We start from the raw sequence: 18,417 nt of genomic DNA, 5'->3' as shown, positions 1-18,417 counted from the left end.
CTTAGTGCTCAAGCATCATTTTTGCATTTCAATGCAGCATTCTCTCAGATTAATGCCCAAGATATTCCAGCTGCACTGCAAGTGAGTGAGTGGACATATAGGAATATTATGCATGGCTTGTATCATTGACACTGAGCAAAGGAAATGTGATTAGCACCAAATTGCATCTGACAGGGGAATCAGAAACCTGTCAAACACGATGACATGGATCCAATGTTTAGAAGGCAAAAGGGGGAAGAAAGGAGCAGGGCAGTCTCGCACAGAGACAGCAATAAAACACAACAGCGATGATAAATTAATTCATTTACTTATGAAAAATTAGAGGCTTCCACACACAGCTCCCAGTTATAATCTTGTCAATCTGGTTGAGTAAATAAAATGCTCTGCAATATTAGCTGAAAACACAAGCAAGAGAAAAGAAAATGCAAAAATTGAATGCTTGGCCTTACATTTAATCAAATACAATAATTCTTTGGTGTGAGCACAAAGGTATTTGAAGGGAATTTTTTCAAAGAGAATATATTACACTACCCTCAATTGAGATCTTCTTTCCTAGCCTCAAACGTAGAGCTGTAAAACTCCAGGGCATAAGGCCATGGTTGTGTACTCAGATTTCGCTCCAAAAGGTGTTTAGACAAAAGGACACATCATAATGCCCTTGGTGGTTTGCTTCTTGAAAACTCTGAGGGGAAATACAAAAATCCGATTGGAATCTTCTGATACCAAGTGGTTAGCAAATACATGCAGAGCCTCTCTCTACAAAAAGTGACTGCCACAGGTAACATCAAGCTCAATGCTCGAAAGTGTATACATTTACTAACCCCAAAAGAGCAAACATACCCTGATGGGCCACAGCCTCAAGGTGAAGGCTTTGTTGAACCTTAAGACTTTTTGTTTTGCCATACTCTCAACTGAAGGGGGCAATAGATACAGAATTACCTGGAACACCGTAATTGTTCTTTACACACATTTCCATCCATTATGCATGAAAGAGGAAAAATTTTTCTATTGTCTCCAAATTAACATGACTATAGGAATAAATAAGATGTAAAGGGCAGACTCTGCAAGAGAAATTCATGTGTCTGTCTAAATGGAAGACTTTTAGAAAAAAAAAAAGTGACTGTCTGGAACAGACAGCTAAAGAGAACTCGGAGATGCACAGAAATGTTTCTAAAACCTTTCATTTCAAGTCTCCGAGAAAAGCCTCTTATATACACAGTGTTTCTAGAAATAAGCTACAACGTATGGCTTGCCTTAAACAAGAATGGGTGATAATAAGACTGTTTTGAAGGGGAAGAGGATTACTTATTAGATGAAAGAAGAGTCATATTTTAAAAGGAGAAGGTCATATTGATTTCATTAATAAATCAAAACTGGAAAAATCCCAGATGTCCATTATCAGGAGGAAGGATAAATAACTTTTGGAATATTCCATACAATGGAATATCACCCAGCATTAGAAAGGAGCTAACTACAAATATACTAAACGGTGAATCTCAAAAACATGCTGAACAAAGAAGCCTTATACAAATGAATACATACCATATAATTTCACTTACATGAAGTTCTACACAAGGCAAAACCAATTTATGGTAGAAAACAATCAAAACAGTGGTTGCTGTTGGGAGGTTTGAGGGTCAGGGATTGACTGGGAAAAGGTGATTTTCGGAAGTGGTTGCAGTGTTTCATATCTTGATAGGAGTTTACATGACACAGATACATACATTGTCAAAACTCATCAAAAGTTCTTGAGATTTGTGCATTTCATCATATGTAAATTTTACTTTATAAAGATCTTTAAATAATATGAAACTCTTGCTAATGATATGCATGCTAAAGTACTTAGGAGGGAAGTGTATGGATGTCTGCAATTACTTGGAAATGCATAAAAAAATAAGACGCCTTGAAAGATGGTTACAGAAACAGAGAAATAGATACTTAATAAAGCAAATAAAGTTCAATGTTATTTGCCAAATCTAGGTGTTAAGTAGATGGGTCTTCACTGCATACTTATTTCAACTTTTCTATATATTTAAAATTTTTCATAAAATGTGGAAAAAAGTCAGGGTGGGGTGAAGATGTATTGAGTGTTAGTTTTAAATGAAGACTGGGTATAATGGGACCAAGGATGGTGATTCACAAGGATCACAGAGCCAGAAAAAAAAAAAATCACCAGAAACACAGACGAACTATCAAGTACTTGGGACTAGATAGAACATGGGCAATGGCTAAACATTACTCAGACTGGGACAAATAACCACATCAACTGGAAACAGAAAAATCACCAAATCCCTCAAAAAGAACAAACTGCACATCGAGTATCTTAAAACTATTATTTTTCTATAACCTTTGCAAATTTTACACCTCAGCAAAAAGCAAGTAAAAAAAGCATTTTCTTTTTTTTTTTTTTTTTTGAGACGGAGTCTCGCTCTGTCGCCCAGGCTGGAGTGCAGTGGCGGGATCTCGGCTCACTGCAAGCTCCGCCTCCCGGGTTCACGCCATTCTCCTGCCTCAGCCTCCCAAGTAGCTGGGACTACAGGCGCCCGCCACTACGCCCGGTTAATTTTTTGTATTTTTAGTAGAGACGGGGTTTCACCGTTTTAGCCGGGATGGTCTCGATCTCCTGACCTCGTGATCCGCCCGCCTCGGCCTCCCAAAGTGCTGGGATTACAGGCGTGAGCCACTGCGCCCGGCCAAAAAAAGCATTTTCAATGTGAAGTTTCAAAGCAAGTCTAGCAAAGAAATTTCTCCCTTAGGAAAGAACACTATCAAGCATTATAATGTGGAAAAAACAAGTTGCCTGTTTGTAATGTTTAAAATCCAACAGCTTTCATCTTACATTAAGAATGTCCTCAAAGGAGAAATTTGAAGGTATATATTTTACATTTTCTTCTGCAAATTTAAGTAAGCATTTATCTCTTCTTGGTTTAACTTCATTCCATAAAAACTGTCTCCTCATGTCAGAATGCCCATCAAAACTTAATAAGAATATATCAGGCTACAAAGTACTCTAAAGCTTTTCTTAATTTTGTAAACTTTAATTACTATAACCAATAATGCAAGCTTTTGTGAACTAATCTAAGAAAAAACCTGTCACTATTCCAAACTGCAAATTCTAATATTTAATCAGATTAAAATAAAAATACAATCACTTTTACTATTACTATTGTCAGTTTACAATTAAAGAAAAATAATACTTTGTATTAATCAGTAGCCAGAAATAATTTATAACAATAACCCCAATAGCCTTTCAGATCCTAAAACAATTAGTTTTTATTTGAACAACAAATGAAATGCTCTGAATAAAAGGAAAATACTTGTCGTTGGCTACACTGTCAGTTAAAACTCTTCTGATCCAAATTAGAAATAAAAATTATAAAACATTAGTATTCTATTCCTAAATTACAAAGAAATGGAACTCCCAAATTTACATCTCAGTCCAGATCTCTATTTCAAATTTTAGACTCATTCTCAAGATGTCCCAAACGAAACTCCTGATAGCATTCACCAAACCTGCAACTCCCATAGAATTCCCCAGCTCAGCAAATCAACTCATACCTCTAGTTGCCCAGGATAAAAAAATTGGTCCTATTGTTAGTTCTGGTCCTCTCACTCCTCACATGAAATAAATCAATCCATCCTGAATACCCAAAATAGAAGCCACTATTCTGTTTTCCCTCAATTACATCTAACGTTTCTTCACTGGCTCCTAGCTTCTACCCTGCACAACCTCCCAGTGCCACAAGACCTTGTCATTCCTCAGCTACAGATCCTTCCATAGCTGCTTCTACTAGAGAATGAAAGCCAAATTTCTTAGAATAGCCTACAAGGCCCTATCTGATCCACCCACCCACCAACTCCTCATTAGCTCCCAGGCTTTGACTATGGTCTTCTTAGAATCTTCCCTGATGATTATTTTAAATTGTCCTCCTCTGGCTCTAACTTCCCTCTCTACTCCATATTTCTTTATATCACTTATGACCCTATGCAACATGCTATATATTTACACTACATATTTACATATTTCCTTGTTTTTAAGGTGGGCTGCCTTCACTAAAATGTTAAAACCAAGAGAACAGGGATTTTTATCCATTTCATTCATTGTTCTATGCATCCACTGTATCTAGAAAAATACTTTAAAGTTTACTGGTACTCAATAAACACATGTCAGACAAATGAAGAATCTGAAATTTAATTCATATTGTAAAAGCTCAAGAGTGGCTTAGTATCATAAGTCCTACTCATATTTAAAAAGGATTATTTATGTAAATGGTCAAAATTTACAGATAATTAAGAGTATGTGGCATTCTTGCTCATTAAGGGAACTCCATGAACAAATGGATAAATTAGTTCTAATTACAGTTTCCCTACAGTGAATCTTTTTTATCATAAAAAAAAACTACATCTTTAGACAATGAAAATATTTTCTCATTTATTTTCCTTATAAAATACACTCTTCTGGATTATTTATCACTTAAAATGTAATTGCACTCATGTAAAAAATGTAAATTTTAATAAATCTCTATAGAATTTAAAATTCAATATGCTACCATATAAATTGGACTGTTCTTATATTACTTTATCCATTCTTGAGTTAACCAAGACAATTTTAAAACATTAAACAATTTCAGAGAATCTACTATTTTGTTAATACAACACAAAATGCTATACATGATTGGGAATTTAATAGGTAATTAAATCTAAAATTGACCTATAAAGTTCAAAACAACCATGTATCTATTAGATATTTTTAACAAAAGTGGCCCAGTCAGTGAAATAATGTTTTCTGTTTCACAAACAAAATATTCTTACTGCTGAAGGTGTTTGGTTTTGCATGAATAATGAAAAGTACATAGATAATACCACCTGACCCTAATTTTTTATCTTGGAAAATAAACAGCCAACCGTCTTTCCTGTCAACAGTTATTCTAACAGTTCTTTTCAATGGCTATTTGTGCTAACATGCACAGTTATCACGCTGTATTTCAAAACATCCCACTCTCCCTTGACTGAAGCCATCTATATAATATGACTGGGGCAGCTACTGGACTGGGAATCAACTGTACAGACTTATCAAGGACACTCATGGGCCTTCGACTCAACCTTCCAGCAGTCAAATTCACAGCCACAAACCGTAAATGAATTTTTAATTATTCCATATTTGATTTTTACAATGCTTTGAGACAAGCAATTACGAAAGACACTTTATTTGTCTGATGTCATTAATATGCATCAGTGACAATGAAACCACAGAAAAACCTAGTGAACAGGGTGCCTCGAGTATTAATTAGCCAAAGACTTGACAAAAATCTCTCAAGATGGAGTTTTGTGGAAGCCCTAAATATTGTTAGCATCGTTTCAGATATGTGACTCAGAACTTGTGATTTCTGAGAAAGTTAAGCTCACTAAAATATCTTTATGTTTACTTGTAGGTTTTTTCCATGGTGAAAGTAGTTTTAATATACTTAACAACTAAATTTTAGAGGTATTTTGTCACATATAACTCTGAAAATGTTATATATTTTAGTATATATACATAAAACTAAATTTATATGGCAAAATAATGACTATTCAAATATCTTTAATTCAAAAATCTCCTTAAACGATGCATAACAAATTTCAGCATTAGAATTATTACCAAAGGAATAATGAAAATTAATCATAAATTTAAAATGAAATACAGCTTCATTTTGGGAGAAGGCTTCTCTAGGGAGGGGACTTTTCTAAAATTAAAATTAAATTTTATTAATTAGATAGTTTATTAAGTATAGCGCAGGCCCTTTGACAAGAAGAAAGTGCTATAATTTAACATGGAGGAAAAAAATGGCTCAGAGAAGGGAGGTAAAAAGCTGTATGTTCACACATGAATAGCTAACAATGTTCTCTCTTTCCATTAAGGAAATGTTTTCCAGATGTGACAAGTGTTTCCCCAGACCATCCTCTTAGAGGTACAGTAAGGGTGCAGATTAACAGCGGAACAATTTTCTCTGTCCTCCTCCCCGCCGATCCACCAGGAAGTCCTAAATAGGTGAGGAAAGTGGGGTGCGAAGGTGGGAATCTCTCTGGTTAAGCATCTGGCTCGCGTTCTGAGGATTAAAACCCAGCCCAATGACTCCCTTCACAGACCTCCTTGGCTGTGGGCAGGGCCACGAGCATCTGGGCAGCTGGGGATCTGGAGCTTGGAGGCTTCTCTACCTGAGCACATGTGGTCCCCTGCTCCAGGCACCACCGCGTGGGCCACTCCACAGTCCTGCTGGAAATTCATTCCCTGCCCCACTGTCTGCCCTCAAACCTCCCTTTATTTCTTTTCTTTCCCTCTCTCTGTACAGCTGCTCCTAACCTCTTCACCACCAGGACATGTTTCCTACTCTTCAGGCTGGATTGAGGGCTGGGGTCCACAGGAGGTTTCTTACTGGTTTTCGAACAATTCCTACATGATACATCACTCACCTGTTTTTCACAGGAAACAGCTCCTCTACTCCCTTCATTGGAGATTGCTTTCATTTCTGCCCTTCCAGTCACACATCCCAATTTCCATCAGCAGATTTACTTATTTTCTTCCCTCCTTCCATTCTTTCTCTCTTTCCCCCTCACTGTCATTAGACAAGAAGAAAAGGGTTAAAATGATGATCAGAGGAATTTGAGTTAAGCTTAAGAAAATGGCTTTGACTTCCTAACTATTATTGTTGTAGGACTTTCTCTTTAGTTCAGCTAAAAACGGGGTCCTTGTCACATGACCAGGAAAGATTAGGCTTGCAGACACATTGAAGGGTGAGAAAAATGGAATTTATTGGGTGAAAAGGAAAAAAAACAACTCATCAAAGCAAGAGAGGTTCTTGTTAACAGACCCTCATCTCACAGACTGAATCCCAGGTACCATCCCGGATCAGGAGAGGCCCGGCTCCTCCCCTCTGCAAATGGTGTGAACTTCCCAAGGCTCCGCCCCATTGTGCACTCCTCCCAGCGTGCAGGCCAGTTGGAGGTTCTGTTAGGGAGCCCTTTTTACTTAGCTGTCTCATCACTACCATCAACAGAAACAACTGACCCTTACTGAGGGCACACACGCAAAAGCTAAGCCAGCACAGACATTTCCAAACTTTCCAGTAGTGCCTTCAGTGTCTTGGTAATGTTTTCACGGTGCCTTTAGACCAAACAAAACACCTAACAGTTCTGTCCGTTAAGTAGACAGGTCTAAGCAATTTAATTATTTCTGTCTTAACAACTTAGTAACCATTTGAGAAAATAATACACATACATTGAACAAAATGTATATTTTTAGTTAATTCTTAAATAATCACAAATTACCAATATGTGTCTATTGGGGCACTGCAAAACTTCTTAAACTAGACACAAACAGCTTCATTTCTTTTTCCATGATGATTTTTACAAGGTATTGCTTTTTGTCATAGCAACTGATGAAAACTCAGCTTTGCAAAGATATGACATCAAAAGGAATGAAGTATAATCTAATACTGAAACCAAACTACCATGAGACAGAAGTCTATGTAGTGTTTCACAGAAGTTTAAAATATTGTGCAGTGTCCCTCTGAGTTTCCTGTAGTGCTAGCGGTACTACAGCTCATTTGGGAACCATGAGAACTGTGGTTCTAAGCACTTTTGCACGCATTATCTCACAATCGTCTCAAAAGTCATATAAGGTCAGCACTGTCATCAATTGAGGAAACTGAAGCAATATCACACAGCACTTAATTGGTGGGGCCAGGATTCAAACCCAGAGAATCTGATTCTGGAGCCCAGAATCACCATCAAGCTATAATGCAGACAATCTATACATTTGAGGGATACAACAGAATATTTCCATAAAAGCTTGTGAAATTCTGTCCATTGAATATTTGTGGGAACCAGTCTATAAACTACCACCTTTCTACAATGGTTAAACATAGAATTTGGGGATTAGTGAGGTAAAGTGTCTCCTGTGAACATATTAAATGCAATATCGCATCTTTAGGAAATATTATTTTGAGAAAGTTAAACATTTGAAAATTCATTTTATAAACATATGACGTTCATTTTATCTGTAGGCTAAATTACCATCAGTGGGCTGAATTCATTTTCATGATAAATGATAATAACCCCTTTGAAAGTCATCACTTTAATGCTTCCAAACATCTATTTGTTATGGTTAGTATTCAGATTAGCCAGTTGAACACAGAAGAATCCTGATAAATGTAAGGATAAGGGAACAAACAGCTGAAATAAAACAGGATCTACAGTAATGTTAAGAGAAGGAAGAATCCACACATTTCTTACTAATACCTCTTAATTTTTTTATACAGTCTTATGTTTTTAGCTATTTCCCAATGAAACTTTCAAAATTTATTTTCCTTTGTTGCTTAACAATCTGATAACCTTTCCAATACTCAATATCGACAGGCAAACACACTGTGGGCATGCTACAAGATCAATTCTCAATTGTTCTTAATGAGCATATTTCTTTAAAAGAAATCTGCTTGAAATGCATTTAAAATCTGTATACTTCGCACTTTTAAAATTTGATGAAACTGTTAGTAAAGTATATGTTTATGCTAAAAGAGATATCTTCTTGGAGCACATAAAATCACTATGAGAATCAAGACACACATATAAATGATCTGTAAATATTTAATATGACATGATAACAAATGCAAATTTAAGGTCAGCTGTGTACTTTATTCTGTTGAGTTACTTCTTGAAAGCAATGTAGGGAAGATCCAAAGATATAAAAACATGTGATTAAAAGTCTTCAGTAATTTTACCCCAAAATATATCAGGAATTAGCATCACTTACGCATTTTCATGCAGTTTAGGCTGCATGTTAATCTATGAAATTTGCTTTAATTATCATATGTTTCTAAAATATGTATATCAAAATACCCTACATGTCCCTTCCAGGCAGAAAATTAAATGAATAACCCAAATGAATACTATTCAGAAGCTTGGAGCACTTCTAAAATGGCCTTTTATGATCCAAAACTGTACTTGCACTTTGACATTTTAACCTACAAACTCATGCAAATTTTCCATTACAGCTAATAACATGTTTGTTTAAATATTTCTTAAACTTTATACCTGCATAATTGAAACATTATTTAAGTATATTTCACATATTACTTTTTGTTTTTTTTAGTTTCATTTTTTCCAGCTTTATGAAGTATATTTGACAAACAAAAGTTGTATATATTTAAAGTATACAACATTGTTTTCATATATGCATACACTGGGAAATAATAACCACTTTCAAGCCAGTTAACATAGCCACCGTTACATGAAATGTTCTATTTTGTTGACCTAAATCTGCAAATGAATTGTTGCTATGGGCAGATGCCCTGTTCTCAACTGTGACCTTCTGTTGACCCTGGCAAACAGTCACATATGCCCTAAGATACAAGTACCAAGGATGGAAACGCCATTAAGCACATCATAGAACAACACTGTTGCAGACTGAAATGAAGGTTTCTGTGTCTGGATGAAAATTTCTGGTTAATGCTCTACCTTTATGAAATGGAGAACTCCTTGGAAATTTACAATAGAAAATTTTTCATATTATTGAAGATGTTTGATGAGCTTCTGTCTCTGAAAATGATATATAAACTAAAAATACAAGTGGTATCCTGGTTTCCAGCAACTAGTGTTTTCTATACAATTTGTTAGTCAGGTGAACACCACTGATGATCTTAAGGCCAAGTACGTTGATGATGATAATGGCTGCTCCCAAGCACTAAGCACTCACACAGCATTATCGTATTGAATTATTTAAGCTTCCTTCTTAATCTGGAATCACCTGCACATCAACTTGCTCTCCCTGCTCTAGCACAACTGGAAACAGCTGTCTCTCACATGCTGTCTCGTTTGTGCACTTGCTTGTTAATTTTTTCCTTCATTTATTCAGGGATTATTGGGCATTTGTATGTGCTTGGTGCTAGAAAAGTTCACAGACACATGAGGAAAAAAGGGTGTTAACACAAACATCATAAAATAAAGTGGTAATTTATGAGCAATGTAATAATATTAAAATAGTCACTTTCATTTAATATCAAATTATTAGTTCTGTGCCCATTTTATGGCATACTCAGCGTAAGGGGAAGAAGATTATATTAATCTTGGCCGGGCGCGGTGTCTCATGCCTGTAATCCCAGCACTTTGGGAGGCCAAGGTGGGTGGATCACAGGGTCAGGAGATCGAGACCATCCTGGCTAACAAAGTGAAACCCAGTCTCTACTGAAAAATACAAAAAATTAGCCAGGCGTAGTGGTGCACGCCTGTAGTCCCAGCTACTCATGAGGCTGAGGCAGGAGAATGGCGTGAACCCGGGAGAGGCGGAGCTTGCAGTGAGCCGAGATCACGCCGCTGCACTCCAGCCTAGGCTACAGAGGGAGACTCCATCCTCAAAACAAAAAACAAACAAACAAAAAAAACAGTAATCTTATTTACAGGAATAGGCAAGACATTAATTTGTCTCTCAGAAGCCAAACATTGTAGGGTCATTTCTGGCTCATCCAAACTTTTTATTCTTTTTTCAGATTTTCTTTGAAACCTGCCAATATTTAATTGCTTTTGCTTCACCTATACCACCATTTCCCTTAGCTTGAAAGTACAGAATCAAAATATATCTTTTACCTTGGTTATTACAAATTTCTTACCTTTCAACTTTCTGCTTCCCAAACTTTGCTTCTCTAGATAATTCTCCTCCCCTACAAAAAACAGTCTGTTCTTTAAAACAAATATATAAGGTCTAGGTTTTTTTAAGGTCTTAGCCCAGCTACCCATTCATTACACAAGGAAGAGAATCAAAATTCTAAACCTCTTTTATGAAATTTTCAAATCCTAGGAAACTTGCTTCTCTTTCTAACCTCTTACTTATTTGCCAACTGCTTTCTCTTCATCCTGGATCACTATTACACATTTCCTTTGTCCAATCATATCTTTCAATTCTCTGCTTCCTTCCAAAGACATTTTACTCGGAACATCTTCTAAGCTCAATATTGGAGGTCCACCAATACTCTTCTTTACTCATCATCTAATCATCTAAACAGCTTATACACACAATCCTGTCATACATCATCTCCAGCAATGAAAGAGCTCATGATCATCCCTGACTCTACACATTATTTATGCTGAATCTTCTATTTGGAATGACTTCCTTTCTCTTCCATGAGAAAAATAGTTCGAAAAAATCTAAGCATAGCAATAAAGGAAATATTGTATTAATTATGGCAGATTCATGCACTGAAATACTGTGCAACAAAAATGATGATTTCAAAAGTCAATCACCCATATTCCTACCATTTATACAAACTAAGTGAGACTTCCTTCCGAAACTCTGTGCTCCACTCATCAATGACCCCATGCCAACCCTGTTAATCAGTATTAACAACTGATTATATAAGCTTACTGGTAGGTACTATGATTATCTTCATTTTACAAGTGAGAACACCAAATTCAAGACAAGTAGAACACTTTTAGGTTCACAGAGCTAAGAAGTAGGAAAACTTTCACACAAATCCAAGTAATCCAGCTTCAGAATCTGTACTTATTAACATTGAACTTTATATTTATCTATATTTATGATGGCCATCTTCCAAAATTAATGCACAAATATTTTTTGACAAGGATGAATAGTAAATATGTAGCATATATTACCAATAATTTATATGCATGATATGAATGGGCATTTATGTTGCCTTTTTTTGAACCATTAACAAATGATGCTGCAATAAACATCTGTATGTGTGTGTGCATCTGTTTTTAAATTTTGTCTTTCATTTCCACAGAATGGATGCCTACCTAACCATGTAATTTCTGTAACATTATGTGCATTTTCAATTTTATAGCCAAATTACTTTCCCAAATATTTGTACAAATTTAATATCTTGACAAAAGTGTATGACGATGGCCTTATTTTTTTAAGGTTGATGATCTGCATGGTTCCTTACTGCATAACCTCTGAACCCTCCTGCAGATGCTTAAGATCCCTAAACTCCTGGTAATAACTTCCCTTTTGGCTGAGTTACAAACAATAAAAAGCAATTCTGCTGAAGGACACTATTGATAGTATGAAACCACTCAATGTTTTTATCACTGAGACTTATGCCTTTATATGGGCCTTAAGGTCTCATGAAAGCTATTTGTTATTTATTTTTAATACATTTTACCCAAGTCAAATTCACTATATTTATGGAAACCCCTTGGTCAAGTAATCTAACAGAACTACAGAAAAAGTAAACATCTCTTCTTTTTACATAAACGTTATTCTGGTTAATCTTTTTGGGTCTTTAGTATCTACTACTGGGCATCAATTCTTTTTAGATACTACTAATTCACTTGGTTCACAGAGGATTCTAAAATTATGCAAGGATGACAGTAAGCCCAACAGAGTCTAGGCTCCAGTACAACATTATTTCCATTTCGACGCTCCATTTCAGTCTCGTGTATTCTTTTGTATCTCATAGACTTTTGTTTTTTGTAGAGCATTAAGCAAATGCTAAGTCACTTGTTTTCATACAAAGAAAAGTATAGTAGTGATTTCCCCCAATGTGCAACTCCAGATACCACTTAAAAAAATATTCCCAGTTGGTAGAAGAGTTTTAAAGATATTGCTAACATTTCACTAAGCCTGATGACAAAAACAATGGTCAAGAAATAAATGTGGTATTTGGGTTCAATTTCTTCCACTTCCTTTTTGCATGAATTTGGACAACTCATTTATATGGGATTCAATTTCATCTTCGATATGTGATAATTATATTTAAGTATATTTAGATTTCCTTTTAGCTGAAAATTTTTATGATTCAATTATTAAGAATTATTAACGTGTGTTCATATTTTTGGATTATCTTACTATTTCCTTCATTATCATTATTCTCTTATATTACAAGTTCAAAGATAGAAGATATTATATCAGTTTACACCCATTTGGTATAGGATAGCACCAAGGGGCTTAGAAAATTCATTATTATGATAGAGAGGCTGGTAACAATGTAATTTGTAGTGAATCCAATGGGTGTTAAAAATAGTTAGAAGGGAACTTAAAAAACACTCTTTAGGCTGGGTGCGGTGGCTCATGCCCGCAATTCCAGCACTTTGGGAGGCTGAGGCAGGCAGGTCACTTGAGGCCAGGAGTTTGAGACCAGCCTGGCCAACATAATGAAAGCTTATCTCTACAAAAAATACAAAAATCAGCTGGGCGTGCTACCACACACCTGTAGTCCCAGCTACTCAGGAGTTGGAGGCAGGGGAATTGCTTGACCCTGGGAGGCGGAGGTTGCAGTGAGCCAAGATTGCAACACTGTACTCTAGCCTGGGTGACAGAGTGAGACTCTGTGTCAAAAACAAAACAAAACAAGACAAAAAAACCACTCTTTATAGAAACAAGCCCATGAAGTAACATGTCAAGAAAGTCTTATAATATCTATAAAGAGACACAATTTTATGACCAAACACTGATCAAACTCCGAATTCCATGAAACTAAGGCTTTGGCTGAGCCCCCAATGTGCCTTGCATTACCACCCAGAGTGACACAGTGAAATTCCCTGAAAAGAATAATTTATTCTGCATTAGTAGCAGGGGGCTCCAGAGAAATTAGCTGCATTGGGAATTTTCCTCCAGAGGAATTTTATCACATAATATAATTTACATTCAAATAGAAATGTAAATGAAGGTGTACTAAAATTTACAACTTTCAAAGACAAGACCTAGAAGCATGGCCCTATGGATTCACATCATCTGTCACAGCCCTAGTCATTGTCCTCCACAGGTACTTTCCCAGTTGCTAAATAAAAGCTTTCATGGTAATCCCAGCACTTTGGGAGGCCGAGGTGGGTGGATAACAAGGTCAGAAGATCAAGACCATCCTGGATAACACGGTGAAACCCCGTCTTTACTAAAAATATGAAAAAAGAGCCGGGTGTGGTGGTGGGCACCTGTAATCCCAGCTACTTGGGAGGCTGAGGCAGGAGAATTGCTACAACCCGGGAGGTGGAGGTTACAGTGAGCCGAGATCGTGCCACTGAACTCCAGCCTGGGCGACAGAGCAAGACTCAGTCTGAAAAGAAAAAAAAAAGCTTTCATGTTTTCCACTTAAAAATCAGCATCTTTGCTTCTACTTTTTAATACACCCAATTCTCCACAAAAATGCTAAAATTTCCCAGCAATCTTCATTATCTGCAAATAGCATACATTCTCCAAGATATCACCATAAGCATCCCAATTCAAATGGTGTACAAAACCACGCAGATGAAATAATCCAATGTAAAATGTTTAACATAAAATTAAGCCTGAAAAAAACACAACCTGGTGACCACATTACAAAGAAAGTTTTCTCCATGGCTGGAAGTCAGGCTAAATGTAAAAACAAATTTTGAACTCACTCTTTTTACAAATATTAGTTAGGCTGCTAATATATCTGTCAAGCTGTGGTTATCAAACAGAACAATGGTTGCTAAATTACCAACATAAGGGAAGGCATCAAAATTATAGCTTGGATACCACACTGAGCAAAAGAAATGATTAACAATAACAGTCCAAACACCATGTGTTCTCTAGTTAATAATAAGGTCTACTGCCCATATATATAACTGGCACGGGAGGAGAATTCTCTCTTCCCATATTCATTCATTTATACATACACACACACACACCAATGAAAAGAGAAAACAAAGGGGGAAAATGGGCTTTAGCATTCTAACTACAATTTTCACTGTTTATGTGATGACAGAGTTATTATGGTATTTCAAAGCAAGAAAAGTCTGAGTCTAAATGGGTTGCATTCTGAAGGAGACACCTACTCCAGAATCTCATACAGAGAGAGCTGGGTTCATTTTACTTTTTGACAAATAGTTACCATGACTTCTAAATAATTACTTAAGTCACAGAAAAATTATTTAACCAGCTACCCAGTCCAGATGAGAAATAAGAGTTGGCACTACATCAATCACAAACTACCATCAGGAACCCTTTAATAAGCCATTATTTAGCAAAAATTACTCTAGCCCAAAATAAAGTAATGGCTACAACTACCCTTGTTGTCCTGTTCCCTTTGCCTTCCAAATCCGGATTTTCAACTTCCTAGATTAACCCCAAGAACATCTTAGTCTTAGACGTGTTACTCTCCTTTCTCTTTCCACTGACTTAACTGCTTTTCATTTCTAGGAATGTTTTCAGGTGTTAGAAACCACTGGTTTCTAACTGGTTTGCTACTGGTCCTCAAGAGTCATTTTCCCCCGACTAACCCTTTTAAGTGGTATGTTGGCTTCATTCCTCTTGAGCACATTAAGTAGGAAGGAGAGGGCAGCTGCCTAGTAAAATCTAATTTAACCCCCACTCTTCCTCTGTTCACTTTGTCTACCAATATTTTGCCACTGTGCCCACCCACTTGGTCAGTCCCTCACCTACAGCAGAGATTTGAGTCTCTTTTGAAGGTCATTCCAGAGGGAAAAACTCAAGAGGGAAAAACTCATCATTTTTTTAAGTATTAATACATCCTACACAAAGTTTTAAAACCGGTTACATTTAGTGATCCAGAGTATATTTATATTTGGCCACTTGACTATCTTCCCTTTAAATGATAAAGCCATTTTTCTTTCAAAGAATTATCAGAATAAACCACAATTTATTTAACACATTTAAAGAAAAATGAGAGACAGCACACTATACCACTGGAGACCAGGGAAGGGGTGGTCTGAAGCCCTGCTCTCTGGTTCTCCTCTCCTCTCCCACCATGCCAGGTCCCAAACACCACCAAGTGGTCCATTCTGCTACACAGTTTGGTAACTCCTGCTGATAACATCACATCCCGGGGCACTGCTCCAAGATGCCTCTTTCTGATATTTACCTTTTCTTTCACTTAGTTGACCTTGAAGGAGGTAGGGGAAACACTTAAGTACTGCTATATATTAGGGATCTCTCCATGTTATCTCTGTTAATTCTTAGAACAATCCAGCAATTTAGAGTTTGTGATTTTTCCCAGAGCTCAGAAAAAGAAAATAAGCCAGGATTCAATCCCAAATTTATCTTATTCCAAAGCCTAGTCTCTTCTTGATCCTCTATGCTTCCTTCCCAAGTCTTTAATTTTATTAGAAATACATAAGCTGTCAAATGCAGTACAACAGTGATTCAGTAACACACCTACATTCTACATATTGTAAACTTTAAAAATCTTAAGATTTTAACATCACATATGTGGACCAAAAATAAATTCTGAATAACATAAAGGTGAAGAACATAAATGCACATGAAACATAAACTATCACGACATGTAGTGATGTCCTTTTTAAAATAAAAAGTAGAGAACATATTTAACATCCCACTCTTAATGGAAAATTATAAAAAACAAAATCTTTCATGGATAGTTCAGAATTTCTAAAAAAAAAAGCATTGAAATTAAAGGCATTGCCATAACTATAATGTATATATAAGTATAATCTGATATTGGACGACTTGCTTCTCAACTACAAGATGTTTAAAATTAAATTTTAATTTTTTTCATTTTTAATTTTTGTAGGTACATAGTAGATATAAATATTTAGGGGGTATAAAATAGAAGGGTAGACGATGGATGCAAATAATACAAGTTTTCCAAAGGAATTTGATATGATTCCTTGGAAGAAGCCACAAAAGAAAACAAATATCCCCTGGGTTACTGGTAGAACCTGGAGTAGATTATTAACAGGTTAGGTTTTTTAAAAACATGCACAAGGTACGTCTGTGGCCAGGCCTCCATCATAACAGTCAAAAATGTTAAGGATCAGTATCTGAATTAACATGCTTAACAGTGATTATGTTGAACAGTGATGAAGCTAAATTATTTTAATTACTGAAACCATCCTGGATTATCTGAAGAATGCAGAAATGGTTTAACAAAGGAAAGTAATGAAGACTTTTTTAAAGTTTAACAAAGAGTAATATTGAATTGAACTTAAAGAACTATAAAGCAGCTATTTGCAAAAAAATAAAGTAAAATAAATCAGAGCCTTTTTTATGCTAAAGGTGCAATATACTCTGATGGGAAGATTTCAAAACTCTTATGTGTGGTATAGATCAATAATTTTCTTTCAAGTAGCATTCAATAGCAAACGGGATATCTCAGCACAGAGAAATTACAAATAGTAGACCGACAGATAATTATACATTGACAGCATAATGAATAATCTCAGCATTGAGTAGAGGTTGGTCATCTAATTTTAAGAAGGTTCTATAGAAACTGAAAATACATCTCTGTAAATTTCCTCTATTTGCCATTTTAAAGCTTTAGCTTCTACAAAGCTAAATGATAGTTAGAGGCAAAAATAAAATTTACATATAAAAGGACACTGCAATGATTGCCTTTTAATGAAAAGGTAGAGAGGAAGAGATGAAGATAGTCTCAATCATATTAATTCTTCATTTTATTCCAGATCGATAAAAAGAGAATGAGGAAATTTTTCAGGAAATTAAAAAACAGAAAATTTGTGAACAAATTAGGAAGGTTTCTCTTGCAACATGTAAGTATTCTTGGCTTGTGGGATTCATAATATCAAGAAGTTATCAATATAAACAACATGGTTAGATTTTGAAGAGATGGATAAGTTTTAGCACATTATAATGGTTTTAGCCAATTTGTGGTAATATAAAACAAAACACATTAAACATGTAATTAAATGGCATGTCCTAAGGCCTTACTCCCCACAGAGAAGAAGAAATTCAAATACATAACACAATGTCTCTAAAAGCTTGCTGCTGAAATGTCAAATGTTAGCCCTTGCATGGTCTTTCACTCTGAGTCATAAGAAAGTTCTATTTTATTCAAGCTGTTCCTAATTGGTTTGAAATTCAAAATTCTATTCCATCTCTCATAATCCTAGTATGTTTTCTGCCCTACAAGGTAAGCTAAGAGAATGGCAACCTTTCTCATTTTAAAATGTAAGTACCCACTTAAAACTAGAAGTACCATAAAGGCCTACATGGGAAAATGGCTTCTCTGGCTTGTATGATAGAAATGTAAATCTTTTCCTCTCACTCAATTACCTCAACAACCCAAACACAGTTCACTCCTTGAGTTTTCTCTCTGAAACTCTTGCTACAGCCACAGGATATCTTGGCATGTTCTTTGTGTCATCACCACCTACCATTTCCAGGACATTTAGGCAGTGACCAGCAATTCACTGACCAGTCGTACCCATAAAACTAGATGCACTGAAGAAGAGGACATAGAATTCAGGAGCCATTGCTGGCAAGATAACTTCATTTTGTCCAAATATACTAGGAAGGGATGAAATGAACTCATTAAAGTTTCTAAAAGAGAAAGAAAAAAAATAGGACATTTCCTTTAAAGAAATGCTTAGGAGATAACTCTAGGAACAAACAGAAACTCATTCTTTTTTTTTTTTTTTTTTTTTTTTGAGACAGAGTCTTGCTCTGTCGCCCAGGCTGGAGTGCAGTGG

At 35.9% G+C, this 18,417-nt stretch overlaps 1 protein-coding gene across 15 annotated transcripts in view; it reads right to left on the bottom strand.

Moving 5' to 3' along the window:
- Nucleotides 1-18,417, bottom strand: part of PARD3B (par-3 family cell polarity regulator beta) — a 1,074,688-nt gene that overhangs the window by 699,119 nt on the left and 357,152 nt on the right. The window contains exon 1 of one of the 15 annotated variants that reach the window (XM_017003284.2): nt 6,451-18,280. The exons of 12 other annotated variants lie outside the window; for them this stretch is intronic. In XM_017003284.2, coding sequence (XP_016858773.1) covers nt 6,451-6,504 — 54 coding nt within the window. In that variant the 5' untranslated portion in view covers nt 6,505-18,280. Of the gene's footprint in view, nt 1-6,450; nt 18,281-18,417 lie in introns of those variants that run through there. 2 more of the 15 variants (XM_047443209.1, XM_017003286.2) reach the window with 2 other exon arrangements.

This window comes from Homo sapiens, chromosome 2 (genome assembly GCF_000001405.40).
Source record: "Homo sapiens chromosome 2, GRCh38.p14 Primary Assembly".
NCBI classification, from domain to species: Eukaryota; Metazoa; Chordata; class Mammalia; order Primates; family Hominidae; genus Homo; species Homo sapiens.
This window is presented reverse-complemented; position numbering and strand designations above follow the sequence as displayed.